The sequence below is a fragment of the Homo sapiens genome, chromosome 20, assembly GCF_000001405.40.
Source record: "Homo sapiens chromosome 20, GRCh38.p14 Primary Assembly".
NCBI lineage: Eukaryota > Metazoa > Chordata > Mammalia > Primates > Hominidae > Homo > Homo sapiens.
Window position 1 is genome coordinate 60803604 of NC_000020.11, and position 14627 is coordinate 60818230.

General features: G+C 44.3%; 1 long non-coding RNA gene across 1 annotated transcript, besides 1 other annotated feature; it reads left to right on the plus strand.

Annotated features, from left to right (window-relative positions):
• Window positions 1-894: 894 nt before the first annotated feature.
• On the plus strand, window positions 895-5770 carry LOC105372700 (uncharacterized). Its single transcript, XR_936954.3, has 4 exons — window positions 895-1620; window positions 1792-1902; window positions 2245-2501; window positions 3364-5770. It is a non-coding gene; the product is annotated as an uncharacterized LOC105372700 (long non-coding RNA).
• Window positions 2463-3662: an enhancer, noted in NCBI's record as "CDK7 strongly-dependent group 2 enhancer chr20:59381122-59382321 (GRCh37/hg19 assembly coordinates)". NCBI's record gives its function as "activates an origin of replication core promoter dependent on BRD2, BRD4, P300/CBP, MED14 and CDK7 cofactors, with strong dependence on CDK7, by STARR-seq in HCT116 cells {active_cell/tissue: HCT116}" and the evidence as "EXISTENCE:reporter gene assay evidence [ECO:0000049][PMID:35650434]".
• Window positions 5771-14627: the final 8857 nt, after the last annotated feature.

Consider the following 14627-nt stretch of genomic DNA (forward strand, 5'->3'; position numbering starts at 1 on the left):
GGGAGCCTCACAGCTTCCAAACCTTCCTTCCAAACCCCTCTTCGCTCATGAAGGGCTGACGTCACTTCCACTCGTCCTGACCCCTGCCTTGGGGAGCAGTAGCCAGTGAGCCTCCTGTGCTTTGGGAGTCCCCAAGCCCAATTCTAAGCTGTGTGTTTTGGCTATCACTGGCTCCAACCCTAAACAGAGAAGCCGCTTTAAGAGGCACAGCAGTGAGGGCTCTTGGAGAACAGAACCAGTTGGAGGCAGCTGAAAGGGGGAATTTTTATGAGGACATAGTGAGAATCATGAAAGCCAGCTGCCTGGAGATAGCAGAAGCAGGCCTCTGGGCAGCACACGAGCCAGCACCAGGAGGCCCTTCTCATCCCTGCTCCTCTCCACACAGTAGCTTCTTCCTTCCCGTGGATGTGAGTTCCTGATAGAATGTGTTTATTTATTGATTCATTCCATTAACTTTTATTTTAGGTTCAGGGGTACATGTACAGGTTTGTTATATAGGTAAATTGCATGTCACGGAGGTTTAGTGTACAGATTATTTTGTCACCCAAGTAACAAGCATAGTACCCAGTAGGTAGGTTTTGATCCTCACCCTCCTCCCAAACTCCATTCTCCAGTAGGCCCCGGTGCCTGTGGTTCCCCTCTTTGCATCCATATGCACTTGAGGTTTAGCTCCCACTTCCAAGTGAGAACATATGGTATCTGGTTTTCTGTTCCTGCACTGGTTTGCTTAGGATAAGGGCCTGCAGCCCCATCCATGCTGCTACAAAGGGCTTGCATTTAGTTCTTTCCAGGTTCAAAAGGCAGCTCATTGCCTCCTGCTCTGCATAACAAATACCCAAAGGAGGAGAATGCCATTCACCCAGTTGACTTTAGGTGTCTTCACTGATCCGATCCCTTCTGGCCTCTGAGGGTTTATCCTTGTGGGTCAGGAAGGAAGAGGGGCCATTTAAAAAAAAATGGTTCCCAAAAATGTTGATTTCCCATCAACCAAGGGCACAGGAGGAAACCAGGATTTCCTATAGGACCTTTAAGGTCTCCTTGTCCTTAAGCTTCTTCTGTGTTTCCAGTCAACACGGCTAGGACTTCACTTCTCAGCAGGATCCTGGATTCCCCAGGCAATGACAAATTCACCCGTATCCAGAGCCAGGTCAAACTGCTGAAGACAAACCATTCCCAGGAAAAGGCACACATTCCTGGCCAATTTATATGACACCTGGAGGAGAAACAGCCGTGGAGAAGGTAAAACTCCAGGCTGCACCTCTTCTTTCTGCTGTGGTTGATTGGAAAGGACAGCACTGTCTGATGGGATTTACTGTTTTGTCTCTTCGGACCTGAAAGTTTGTTTTGTACTTGCAAATCTGGACCCACTGTCACCTTGTAACACCCTCCCCCTGAAACCTTGAATGACAAGAAGATTAATGAAAACTGGCACCTGCTCACTCCCTTTTTGCACTGTCACCCACCCTGAGGGAGACGCAGATCTGATGATTTCGAAAAGGTTCTTGGGGATTTGGCCACAGTCTCCTTTCAGATTCGGCAGTCCTGGAGTGTGAGAGCTGTCAGAGTCGAGCCTGGAGTTTTAGAATTACTTAGCTCTAAGGGGCCGAAGCCTACAAACTGGTACGGTGCTTCTCCAACATTAGGAAATATGGTGTCCTTTTTTTTTGTGGGTGGGAGGAGGGGTATTAAAGAGGCAGTGATTTAAATAATTGAAATTTGGAGCTCAGTGTGACTCTGAGATGAGACGTCATTTACTTTAAAAAATCAGAAGTGTGTCTGTTCTCCCTGCAGAGAGCTGCCTGGATTCCTTTCCTGAACCGCCTGCTTGGCCACACCTCCTGACATCCTGTGCTGAGCTGAGTGAAAACTCCACGCTGGGAGAAAAAATGCATGAGGAAAGAGGTTGGTCTAAGGACGGGTTTCTACTTGTTTTGTAGTTTTCTGGGGGTAAAACAAATTACATTGCCACAGAAACTTCATTTTCTATATATTTTTCAAGAAGTTTTTCAGCAGATTTAGAAACTGTACAAAGATAAGAGCAGACACAGTAGCACAATTTAAACAGAGTTCAATAGAATCTGATTTATACTCATGATCCCAGAGACCAGAGCATGTATTAATAAACCATCTCTGGGGGAAACCCATGTTAACATTCCAAAACTTATCCCAGGTTGAATCTTCTGCTATATATCGTCGGACATTAAAATTCCCTGAAGAACTTCAGACTGCAATTTTGCTTTGCAGAAAGTCGGATAATATCACGTCCTCTGGCTCATTTCTCAGCGAGTAAAGATGCAGACACCAGGAGACGTCTCTGGGCTAAAAAACAGTGAGGCATTCTGCTGGTATCCATGTCGGTGCTGGCTCCAGACATGGCAGGGTTTATCTTGCCTCTGGTGGCCTATGTCTGCAACCAGGATGGTCACCTGTTAAAATGCATGCAGTGTGCTCGGGTACGTCACTTCCAACAGCCTTCTTTCGTGAACGGCTATGATGCACAGGTAATTGGCAATATGTAAGTGCTCAACACTGTCATTCTCAGGTAATGCATCTATTTTTTTAATAGCTCACTAAGACATGACATAAAGAACAATGTTCAGTTCCCACAAGCATGCAATTGGTCCCAACATGTGCATGAATGGGTGCATTGCCACATGATATGATGGAATTTTTTAATCTTGCTTGCTGTGCTTAAAGGAGCTGAGAAATGCTTCACAGCAAAGGCAAGAATGTGTTTGAAGAGGAGGAAGCATGCTTTATTTCCTGTCTAAAAAGTTCCTTCTCCATCTACTTCATCAAAGAGATGATTATTTTAATCCAGCTGATCAACAGCACAGGAAGAAACTGCCCCTGCTTCTTCACAGAGCATAAGTGTCACTTTGAGGAGGTCACTAGACCTTTGTAGGCCTCAGGCTTGACACTGGCCATGTGGAGATCGTAATCATCGAAGAACGTCAAGGAGGAAGGCTGTCCAGAGCTAGTCCTGACATTCCTTAAAGGTCATCTTCCCAGCCCCGCCTCGCCTCAGAATGAGCGTGATCTCAAAATAAAAGGCACTCATTTAATTTGAATACATTTTTATCAAGACAGTCTTATAATATTGTTCAAAACATTTCACATTGTGTTCTTTTAAATTAACTTTTTGTTTTAGGTTAATTTTAGGTTTATAGAATTATTATAAAGATAATACAAACAATTCCCATAAACCACACACCCTCTTATCTCTATCCACATCTTACATTAGTATGGCATGTTAGTCAATAAACCTACCAGTAAACTAAAGTTGATGAATTATTATTAATTCATGTATAGACTGTATTCAAATTTCCTTCATGTTTCCCTAATGTTTACTTTCTGTTCCAGGATCCCACCCAGGATTCCACGCTACATTTGGTTGTGTCTGCAGCTCCTCCAGGCAGCGAAAGTTTCTCGTACTCTCCTTGTTTTTGATGACCTTGACAGTTTTGAGATGTATTGGCCAGATATTTGATGGAGTGCCCCTCAAGGGGGATTTGTCTTATGTTTTTGTCATGGTTGGGCTAAGGTTGTCAGTTCTGGGGAGGAAGAGGACAGAGCGGAAGTGCCATTCTTGTCACCTTCCGTCCAGGGTATGTGGTACCAGTGTGACTTAAGCTGCTGACGTTGACCTTGGTCACCAGGCTCAAGGTGGTGTCAGGGCTCTCCCCTGCACTTTCGCGTTCTCTCCATTTCCACACTGCACTCTGTGTCCATGCTTCGAGGTGGGAGTTAGCGCCACCTCCCAGAGAGTCGGCTATCTAACAAAATTATCCAGAATTCTTCTGCAAAGGAGATTTGTGTCTTCTCCCCCATTTATTTGTGTATCCAACATTTATTTATATCACTAATGGACTACAGATATTTATTTTATATTTTGGGTTGTAATCCAATACCACTTTATTTATTTTGTTGTTCCAATTATTTCAGCTTCAGCTGTTGGGGCATCTTCAGTGGCTCCTGTGTCTTTTTGCCATAACGCCGTCATTGAAACTGGAGGTTTTGTTGTTGTTTTGGAACATTCTTACTTCCAAGACCTACAGGATGCTCCAGGCTCATCTTGTCCATTTCTTGCCCCAGTCCCAGAATCAGCCATTTTTCTAAGAACCCCAGGAGGAGAGTAGTAGAAATATTTGGAGAATATTAGAATTCCAGTTGTGCTTTATTTCTGGAGAAAACTTCCAGCCTCTGGACCACATAGTATTTTGGTTGATTCTCACTAAAAGTTTAGGTGGTAGGCATTCTCATTAACCCCAGGTTACAGATGAAATGTGTAGAAGGGTCTGGTTAGGATGTGGTGGAGGCAGAAATGAGACCCAGATGGATACAGCTCCTCACTGCCCCCTGACGATTCCAGTGTCCTCTCTGTTGCATTCCCCTTCGTTCCTTCTGGTGCAGCGGCTGCGGAAGCAGACATAGCATGGTACTAGAAAGGATGGGAGAACAACTGCAGTGCTGGTGTGGCCGTGGGTGCTGAGCTCCCTGGGGTTGCAGATTGTGATACAGGTCGGTGACCGTTCCCTGGCCCTGGTTGACCAGGTTACTGTGACCTTAACATCCTCTGACACATCTTCTAACCTTTCACGTCAGATGTGCTCTTGGAGGACAGGCCGCCACCCTAAGAGCTTTCACCATCACAGACTGCCCGCCTGTCTGCCCATCGCCCTGCAGGCCTGGCCAGCTGCTGGCACAATGGCTGCCGCGGAAGCCCTCACTTGGATCTGAACGTTTCTCCCCCATGTTCAGTTAAATTAACTCAACTAGTAACAAGGGGTTGGCACTTTGTATTCCAGGGAGGGTGGATTAGAGTCATTTCCATTAGCCCTAATTGAGGCCCTAAAGGGAAATTTAATTTATACCCCAAAACACTGCTACATTCTGAAGTCAGCGGCGTGATTTGAGAGAAACGTGAGATGTGGCGGTTTAAAAATAGGTCCATTTTTCCTGAGGGAAGAAGCTGGTTTTAGCCTTTCAATTTGAAAATATTCTAACACCATTGTATGGGGGAAATTGTTTCAACTTAAAAAAATACTAGTTCCAAAAGAACCCCTGAAGCCCCAGCATTTATACTTAGGCTCCAATTTGCCTAGGCCCTTCACTTGGATCCGAGGCACTGTGTCCACCATCTGGGCAGAGCCCTTTGCCTGGGTGTCCAGGCACAGCCCCTTGTCTGGGTGTCCGGGCAGAGCCCCTTGTCTGGGTGTCCGGGCAGAGCCCCTTGTCTGGGTGTCTGGGCAGAGCCCCTTGCGTGGGGGCCTGGGCAGAGCCCCTTGCCTGGGTGTCTGGGCAGAGTTGCTTGCCTGGGTGTCTGGGCAGAGCCCCTTTTGTGGGGGCCTGGGCAGAGCCCCTTGTCTGGGTGTCTGGGCAGAGCCCCTTGTCTGGGTGCCTGGGCAGAGCCCCTTGTCTGGTTGTCCTGGCAGAGCTCCTTGCCTGGGTGTCTGGGCAGAGCTCTTCGCCTGGATGGCTGGGCCGTTCCTCCTTACTGACTGCTTTGTACAAGGTGCCTTGTCATCAACTTCCATCCAAAGGGGAATGGGGATGTTCCCCTGAATCATGCACAGTCACCTACAGGCAGAGAGAGAAGGTGCCTAATGACATGTTGTTAGGGAAAATAGCTAACATGTGCCTTGGAATAACTAATTTCTTGTGAAATGGAGCTATTTCTTTCTTCACTGCCTCTACTGAGATAAAATAAAGGGGCCCCGGCATTGCCGAGGGAAAAGCAGAACGATCTGTGCAAACATTTCATTTGTATAAACAGCTTCCCTTATGACATGGGTACTATTTGGGATTATTTTTAAGACAATAAAAGGTAGTTCATAGCTGTTTTTCTGTTGTTTGCTCATTTTGACACAAAAATTTAGAGTGAGGAAAGGGAAATAGAAAGATAAATAAGATCTGAGCAAAAACAAAGAAGAAAGAGATAAAATACACCAGACAAAACCACTATGTATTCTTGACTTAAACAAATAAGGCAATTGCATAAACTTTGAGGTGGAAGAGTCAACCAGAATGATAAAACCTCAAAAATTGGGCCAGACACGGTGGCTCAGGCCTGTAATCCCAGCACTTTGGGAGGCTGAGGCGAGAGGATGACCTGAGGTCAGAAGTTCAAGACCAGCCTGGCCAACATGACGAAACCCCATCTCTACTAAGAATACAAAAGTTAGCTGGGCGTGGTGGCACACACCTGTAGTCCCAGTTACTCGAGAAGCTGTGCCAGGAGAATCACTTGAACCCGGGCGGCGGAGGTTGCAGTGAGCCGAGATCGTGCCACTGTACTCCAGCCTAGGTAACAGAGCAAGACCCTGTCTCAAAAAAAAAAAAAAAAAAATTAAAAAACCCTCAAAAATTGGAAGATCAACACAAAAAAGGGTAAACCACCAAAGTCTGGTGAGAATTTCTATGTCTTGGTCACTCCAAATGCCAATGGATGAAGAAGGTGGAATTGATGATTGATCAACAGGAAAGGCTCAAGTGGGCAGAGGCCCTTAAAATTCTTCTAAGCACTCCATTTTTTTATGCTTGGTTCTTATTGCCTAGGTTTTCCAGTGAGATAGTTCACAGGCCCCTAATCTACACACCCCAATAGCTGAGACTCTTCCAGCAAAGCCAAGGGTGCAGGTTTCCTAAGGGAGACTTGAGCCCAGAACCCAGTGCAATGGGAATAAGCTTCTGCCCAGCTGAGAGGAAATGCCCTCCCTCAACTTTCACTGTTTCATTGGGCCCCTGGGCCCCACTGTACAGGTTGTCTACCCTGCAGAATAAGTTTCTCCAATGTTGGTGACTTAAAACAGCCATTTTTTCTCTCTTAGTTTCTGTGGGTCATAGGTTCAAGTGTGGCTCGTCCGGGCCCTCTGTTCAGGGTCCTATCAGGCAGAAATCAAGACATGGGCGGGGCTGTCTCATCCAAAGCTTAGGGTCCAATTCTAAGGACAGGTAGTTGTCGGCAGAATCATTTCCTTGCAGCTGTGAAAGCCATGGTGGTTTGTATCTTCAAGTACAGCAGGAGGAAAAGTCTCTGATGTTGTGAAGCTCTTTGATTTTGTCCATCTCTGACCTTTAGAGTTTCTTTTTCTAAAAGACTCCTTTGATTAGATCAGGCACTTCCAGGATAAGCTGAACTCAAAGTCACGTGATTAGGGATCTTAATTTCATCATTTGAAAAATTCCACCTTTGCCATGTGACATAGCCTAATCACAGGAGTGACATCTCATCATAGTAATAGGTCCCATGCTCGCTCAGATGGAGGGGGTCACACAGGGCATGTTCACCAGGGGTACGAACCTTGGGGGCCATCTTAGAATTCTGCCATGACAGCTACCAAATCTAAATCAGCTTCTAAGGCTGCTGCTAAGAGCATAAGTATTTATTTCTCCAAAGAAAGCACAGTGCAGCTATTACCTAAGGACAAGGAGCACAGTAATTCATGCGTGGAGCATTAGAAATGGGGCCTCTACCGGTGGGGGGGGTCTGTTTTCTCCATCTAAAAGTCCCCTGTTGGAATGGGCTGCAAGTACACTTGGGAAGGGAGGACAGCTCTCCAGCAACAAGAGGAGAATTCATTAAGTCACATTCTCTCCAGGTGCCTTGGCTCCTAGAATTCCCTTTGTATTTTTTTTCCTTTTAAACACAGAATGTATGTTAGAATCCCTTAACAGTTTTCAGATGTCCTGGTGAGAGTTTAAAAGGAGGCTTTACTGGGATTCTATTTTCCTTCTTTGTGCTATTAAGCAAAGAAAGCCATTTAAGGGTATCCTGGCAGTTTCGTGTAGCTATCAGACAGTGAAATGAAGAGATCACTTACAACCTGACGTTGATGAGAACTTGGAAGGAGTCTTTGGTGCCCAGACGTGTCTCCTTACTAACAGGAGAAGATAGCATTTACATTAAAACCTGTGGCAACCAATAACTGAATGTAAGAATATCCTCAATTAAAGTGTTTTTCCCCCTACATCCCACAAGTGGGGGAATTCTGGTAACTGGGCATTGCAGATGCAGTCTCAACAAGTGTCTCCAAATTCATGGCAGGAGGTTGTTCTCCCAACAGAGTCTCATATAACCCATCACATCAACATAATAGAAACCCGAAAGTGGGGACTATGCCTGCTGCTTCCCTATACCCCTCAGAAAACAGCCCAGAAGAGGAAGAGATGCACTATTGTGTTTTTCTGTGTGTTTTTATTAAGTAGCGCAGGGCATCCATCTTTATCTTAGAGAAAGTAGGACATTTATCTATGCACAAAGAAAATGAAAAATCACTTGCAATCCTACAGTGTAGAAATAACCAAACACTTAGGATCTCTTCCTTCAAAATCTTTTCTTACATGTATATGTGGAGAAAGCAAGAGAGAGAACATTTTAAAATTAAGGAGATGATAACATGTTCGTTGTTTTCTAATCAGTTTTTTTTTATTAGACAAGGTTCTTTTCAAAATAAAGGCCATGTCTTACATGTTGCTGTGTTTCCAGAGCAAAGCACGGCACTGGCATGTAGTGAGTCCTGAGTGATATCTGTAGAGCAAACCTGTCCCTGTAAACAAACATGGAACCACAGTCTCACGTCAGCAATTGCACATTGGATGATATTATAATTCGGTAGTTCCCAAAGGGTGATATTTTACCACTAAGAATCTTAGGTGGCACATGGATAAAAATGCCTTTATAATTTGCACTTGAAAAATTATGTAAGCAGCCTATCAGCCCCATGATTGCACATTTTTTTAAATTCAGCCTAAGCACTATTTAAGTTAAAAAAAATTTGAGTGAATAATAATTCAGGAGGTTCTCAGATTTGACAAAAATGATAAAGATGGTACCTCAAGTGATCAAAGTATAGAATACTGAGACATGACTTATTCAGCAATTTCCCTCTTAACACACTTATTGACAATGTCCTTATTTTTTCCTGTTATAAAAATGCTGTAACATATTTCTACCTGTATTTTTATATACTTAATTGATGATTCCCAAACAGAAAACTCCCTAGAAATGAAAATGTTACATCAAGTGGTTTGAATGCTTTAGGGCTGTTGACAAATAATGTCAAGTATTGTCCACTACACTGCCTTCAGCCACGCATGAGAGAAAGCAAGCAGCTTAGCATTTTTGGAAGCTTTCCACGAGAGTGGAAAGGCATGAGGATTTTGCACAAGGGGAAATGTGCAGCTCACTGGAATCATGCCTGCACCTGCTCAGGGCTCCTCTCCCATTGGTCCTCATGTTCCCCTAGGTCTTGGTTCCTCTGATTCACTCACTCTTCTGCGACTTTCTCTCTCTCTCTTTCTCTCTCTCTCTCTCTAATCTCTCCTCCTGGCCTTTCTACCCCCAAGATAGAGCTGTGTGTACATTTTCAGTTTAGATAATAATGCAATGTGTGATATTTTGATATTTATCATTCAAAATTAAAGAAAGCTGATATTTATATTACTAATGAGGCATTTCCACGGATTTGCCTTTCAGTTTGGAGAATCCCTTTAGGACCTAGGTGGCTGCCTGTGGCTGGAACCAGAGGTCTCTCCAGAAGACTCCAGGGCTTTCCCTAGGCAACTGGCATTTAGGCCTCCAACTGCTTTGCTTTCAGTGGAGACAGCACCGCCCCCACTCTTTGCCTGGGCCTCTGTTGACCCACTCTTTGCCTGGCCCTGCCCACCTCGACTGCAGGCTTCTGGCCATGGGTCAGAACTACCAGCTCTGCCAAGGAATTCTCCTAGAGGATGGAGCCACCCAGTCACCTGAAGTCATTTCCTAGAGCCCTGAATGAGGACACCTGTCTCCAACATTGAGTCTGGGGACCGTTCCTGGAATTAGGATTGAAACAAAACTGGAAGTGATGGGAAGACGGCATCCATGTCAGATATTTGCCAATCATACCCACAAACCATATATTTAATTAACTCTAATTGATAAAGTTCCCCTTATCACTTATAAAATTTGCTTCAGAAGCACAATGCATATATTTAGTGTGAATGCAAAACCATTACCATTCACAGTAAGAAGGTTACCATATAATTTAAAACAGTGAAGACAAAGAAATGTTCCTTGAAAAGTCTTGCTTTATACTAGCGCCTGCCGAGGACCTGAGCCTGCAGCCCTTCTCTCTTTCTTTAGGAAGATTAGTAGGCAAGAGGGTTGCTGAAGACAGGATAACAACAGGGGTGAGGCTTTCTCCTCAACTCTTCAGGAGACTTGAAAAAGAAGCAAAGAGATGACCCCTCTCCTTCAACGAGATGGTGCTAGCCAGTCCCCAGTCCCAACATCAACAAAAACACCACTCCATACTTCGTGAAACTCTGAAATTATGATGGCTTTTTGGCTTCAATGAAAAACGAACACACAAACAAATAGCAAACCAAAACAGTGCAAGATGGTTCAGCATTCGAAAATGGATCAGTGTAATACATCACATTAACAGAATGAAGGGAAAAAGGCAACCTGATCACTGCAATGGGTACAGAGAAGGATTTGACAAACTTCAATGCTATTTCATGATGCAAGCACTCAGTAAACTAGGAATAGGAGGAAACTACCTCAACATAATAAAGCCTTATGTGGAAAGCCCACAGCGAATATCGTGCTCAATGGTGAAAGACTGGAAGCTTTTCCTCTTAGACCAGGAACTCCTACCGCTTGACTGAAGCTGTGGGAGTGGCATACTTGCCTTGTTCCTGGTCTTAGAGGAAAAGCTTCCAGTCTTTCACCATTGAGTATGATGTTTGCTAGAACCTGCAAGCTCTAGCCAAGGTAATGATCCAATAAAAATAAATGAAAGACATCCAAACTGGAAAGGGAGAAGTAATTATCTCTGTTCACAGATGATATAATCTTATATGTAGAAAACTCTAAATATTCCACACAAAAATACCTGTTAGCACTAACAAATGAATTTAATAAAGTATTATAATACAAAGTCAACACACAAAAATCAGTTGCAATTCTATACACTCACAACGAACAATCTGAAAGGAAATTACAAAAACAATTCTATTTACAATAGCAGCCAAAATAATAAAATGCTTTATTTTATTATTAAAGTGTAAGGAATTAAACAAAGAGGTGAAAGACTTGTACAATAAAATCTATACAACATTGCTGAAAGGATTTTTTAAATTGTGATAAAATATATAAAATACGATCTTGGCTCACTGCAACCTCTGCCTCCTGGGTTCAAACAATTCTCCTGCCTCAGTCTCCCAATTAGCCGGCATTATAGTCATGCTCCACCACACCCAGCTAGCTTTTTTTTTGTATTTTTAGTAGAGACAGTGTTTCACCATGTTGGCCAGGCTGGTCTCAAACTCCTGACCTCAGGTGATACACCTGCCTTGGCCTCCCAAACTGCTGGGATTACAGGCGTGAAACACTGCACCCAGCCTAAAATACATATAATATGAAATTTACCAGCTTAGTCATTTTTAATTGTGTAGGTCACGAGTGTTAAGTATGTTCATCTTGTTGCCCAGCTAATTTCCAGAATTATTTTGTCTTCCAAAAACTGAAACTCTGCATCCATTTCCCCTCACACCAGCCCCTCATGACCACCATTCTACTTTCTTTCTCTATGAAATTAGCCACTCTAGATACCTCGTGTAGGTTGTGTCACACAGTATTTATCTTTTCATGACTGGCTTATTGCACTTGGTGTAATGTCCTCAAGGTTCATCCCTGTTGTAGCACGTGTCAATTTCCTTCCTTTTCAAGGCAGAGTAATACTCCATTGTGTGGAATGTCACATGTATGGGTTTTGTCCACCTTTTGATGATTGTGAATAATATTGCTCTGCACATGGGATGCAATTATCTTTTCATGTCCCTGCTTCCAATTCCTTTGAATGTAGATCCAAAAGTAGAATTGCCAGATAATGTGGTAATTCTATTTTTAATTTTCTGAGGAATTTTCCAGGCTGTTTTTCATAGTGGCTGCACCATTTCACACCCAGGGTTCTGGTTTTTTTAACTGAACTGGACTGAGAGTGTGAACCTGAGTGTGAACTGAACTGGACTGAGAAGTGACATGAGGGAATTTCTATTATTTGAGAGCATCAGAAGAAAGTATTGGTCTTTTGTCCTAGGTCTACCCATCAGGTTTAAAGGGACCGTGAAATAAAAGAAACCACTGCTTCTGCTCACACGCTACGGACTCCCACTCCTTCACTGAACCAGCTATGCAAGCAAGCTAGCAAGCCCAGCTCCAGGCCAGCACTCGGCCCACACTCCCACCTTCCCTCACACACAAGCAGCCTCCATGCTCTGTGAACACACCTGGTCCTTCCTTGCCTTCTGGTCTCTGCTCCCACCACCACCTTCATTTGAGGACATAGAACTCCCCATTCAGGGAATAGCCCTGCCCAGACTCCGAGTGGCCTGTGCGGTCTCTCATCTCAGAGCTTAATCTCTGGGGACTGGGCTTTGCTATTTTAATCCCAGCTCCTGAGTCTGACCTGCATTTAAACCTCGGTTTTCTCATCTGTAGAATAAAAATACATATGGTATTAATGCCTTATAGGTGCCATTCACATTGCTGTGAACAATAAGCAGGGTAATGAATATCAAATGCTAGTGAATGCTAAGTGTTTAATACATTATCCTCTCCTCTCCCTTCCCTTTTCCTGCTCCTCCTCCTCCTTCTTTTTCTTTAATCTCCCCTTGCTCCTCCTCCTTCTTCTTTTTCCTCCTCCTCCTCTTTCTTCTTCTTCTTCTCCCACCCCTTCCCCTTCTCCTTTTATTATACAAACATATGTGGGGCACATTCCAGACTGGTAGTTGATAACAGTTTGGCTCTGTGTCTTCACCCAAGTCTCATGTTGAATTGTAATTCCTGGTGTTGGAGGTGGGGCCTGGTGGGAGGTGATTGGATCATGGGGATGATTTCTTATGCTTCAGCACAATCCTCCTGGTGCTGTCTCATGATAGAGTTCTCATGAGATCTGGTTGTTTAAAAGTGTGTAGCACTTTCTTCCTAGCTCTGTCTCTCTCTCCTGCCGCCAAGTGAAGACATGCTTGCTTCCCCTTTGCCTTCTTCCATGTTTGTAAGTTTCCTGAGGTCTCCCCAGTCATGCTTCCTGTACAACCTGCTGAACTGTGAGTCAGTTAAACCTGTTTTCTTCATAAATTACCTAGTCTCATGTAGTTCTTTATAGCAGGTGAGAACAGACTATTAACAGTGTTCTCTTCTTTATTTTACTGACCATTTTCTTTTTCATTACAGCCAGGCCCAGGGAGCAGGGAGCCGGAGGGGGGCGCATAGGGAAATGTCACCATCGTGCCCATCCTGTAGGTCAAGCCAGCCCAGCCCTTGACCTGATCAGCTTGAGTTCTTCAGTGGCTCTTCTGTGTCCGCATGCTTGTCAGGCCTTTCCAGACCCTGTCACTGTGTGGAATCCTCTGGTCTCCACCTCACCTCTGCACCTCAAGCCTGGAGACAGCCTCTTCACTAATCACTCAGTGCAAATGGCACCTTCTCAAGACACGCCCTCATGTCACCCTCTCTCAGAGCACCAGGAACTTCTGCCTGGTAGGCTGTGCTATCTTTGTGGTGATTGCATTTGTGGTTGCTTTCTCAGTGACTGCACTCACCTTCCTGTCTGTAACCTCCATGAGGGCAGGATCCTGATGGGTTTTCTCACCATTGTATCCCTAGTGTAGACTCTCCATAAATACTGTTAAACAAATGAAGCTCTAATGGCTTCATCAAGCCCCATAGTAACAGCAAAACAGGAGCTCAGGCTCAGATCTGTGGAAGGCCAGATCTGCTTGCTAGCTGAATCAAGGCATCTTGCTCTGCTATTTCATGTGGTTGAAATCTCAGACTCAGCAAATGCACAATTAACTAGATCATGGACTTTGAAGCTACTCACCCACAGAAAATCCATGATCCCTCCTCTGACACATTTGCATTTTCTGTTCCTTCTGGCTGAAATGTTCTTCCTTCTCTCCTCATCTCCACACAACTCCTCAAAATTTGAAGTCTTCCTTGGATTATCCCACTAGCTCCAATCCCCAGGTGATTGCCTCTCATAGGGCCACAGCTCCTGCTCTTGCAACATCTGCAGTTGGATTTTACATGTTGGTCACATGGTTACTTGGGGACTGTCTTCACCCCTTGACAATAACCTGCTTCAGGCCCTAGCATGGTAGCAGGCTGAGAGCAGGCTCTCAGTGTAGACAAGCTAAATAAATGGGTATATGAATCAAGTAAACTCCATCAATTCAGGCACACAGAAAATGTGTTTAGACCTGGTGGCTGAGGGAAGACCAAATATCTGTGATCATTTTGGTTTTACTTTCTAGAGCAAAACATAAGGCCAAGAGAGGAAAATAACCAGATTCAAGGAAATTGATGGATACTCATAAATTAATTGCCAGTTTCAGCCACTCTCAGAATCATGTGATGCCATAGGCTGCCCCATCAGATTTCTCGGTAGGAATACAAACCTTCCCAGTGTTCACAAGATCCTCCAACACCACGCCTGAGTGGCCACCATTTTCCTAGATCTTGTTTTATGATTCGTTTCAACTGCCAGCAGAGTGTTGCTGCTACCAGTGCAGGAGAATCAACACACAGAGCTTAGAGAAAGAGACATTTGAATATTACTGTCCATGTGTCTCTGCTC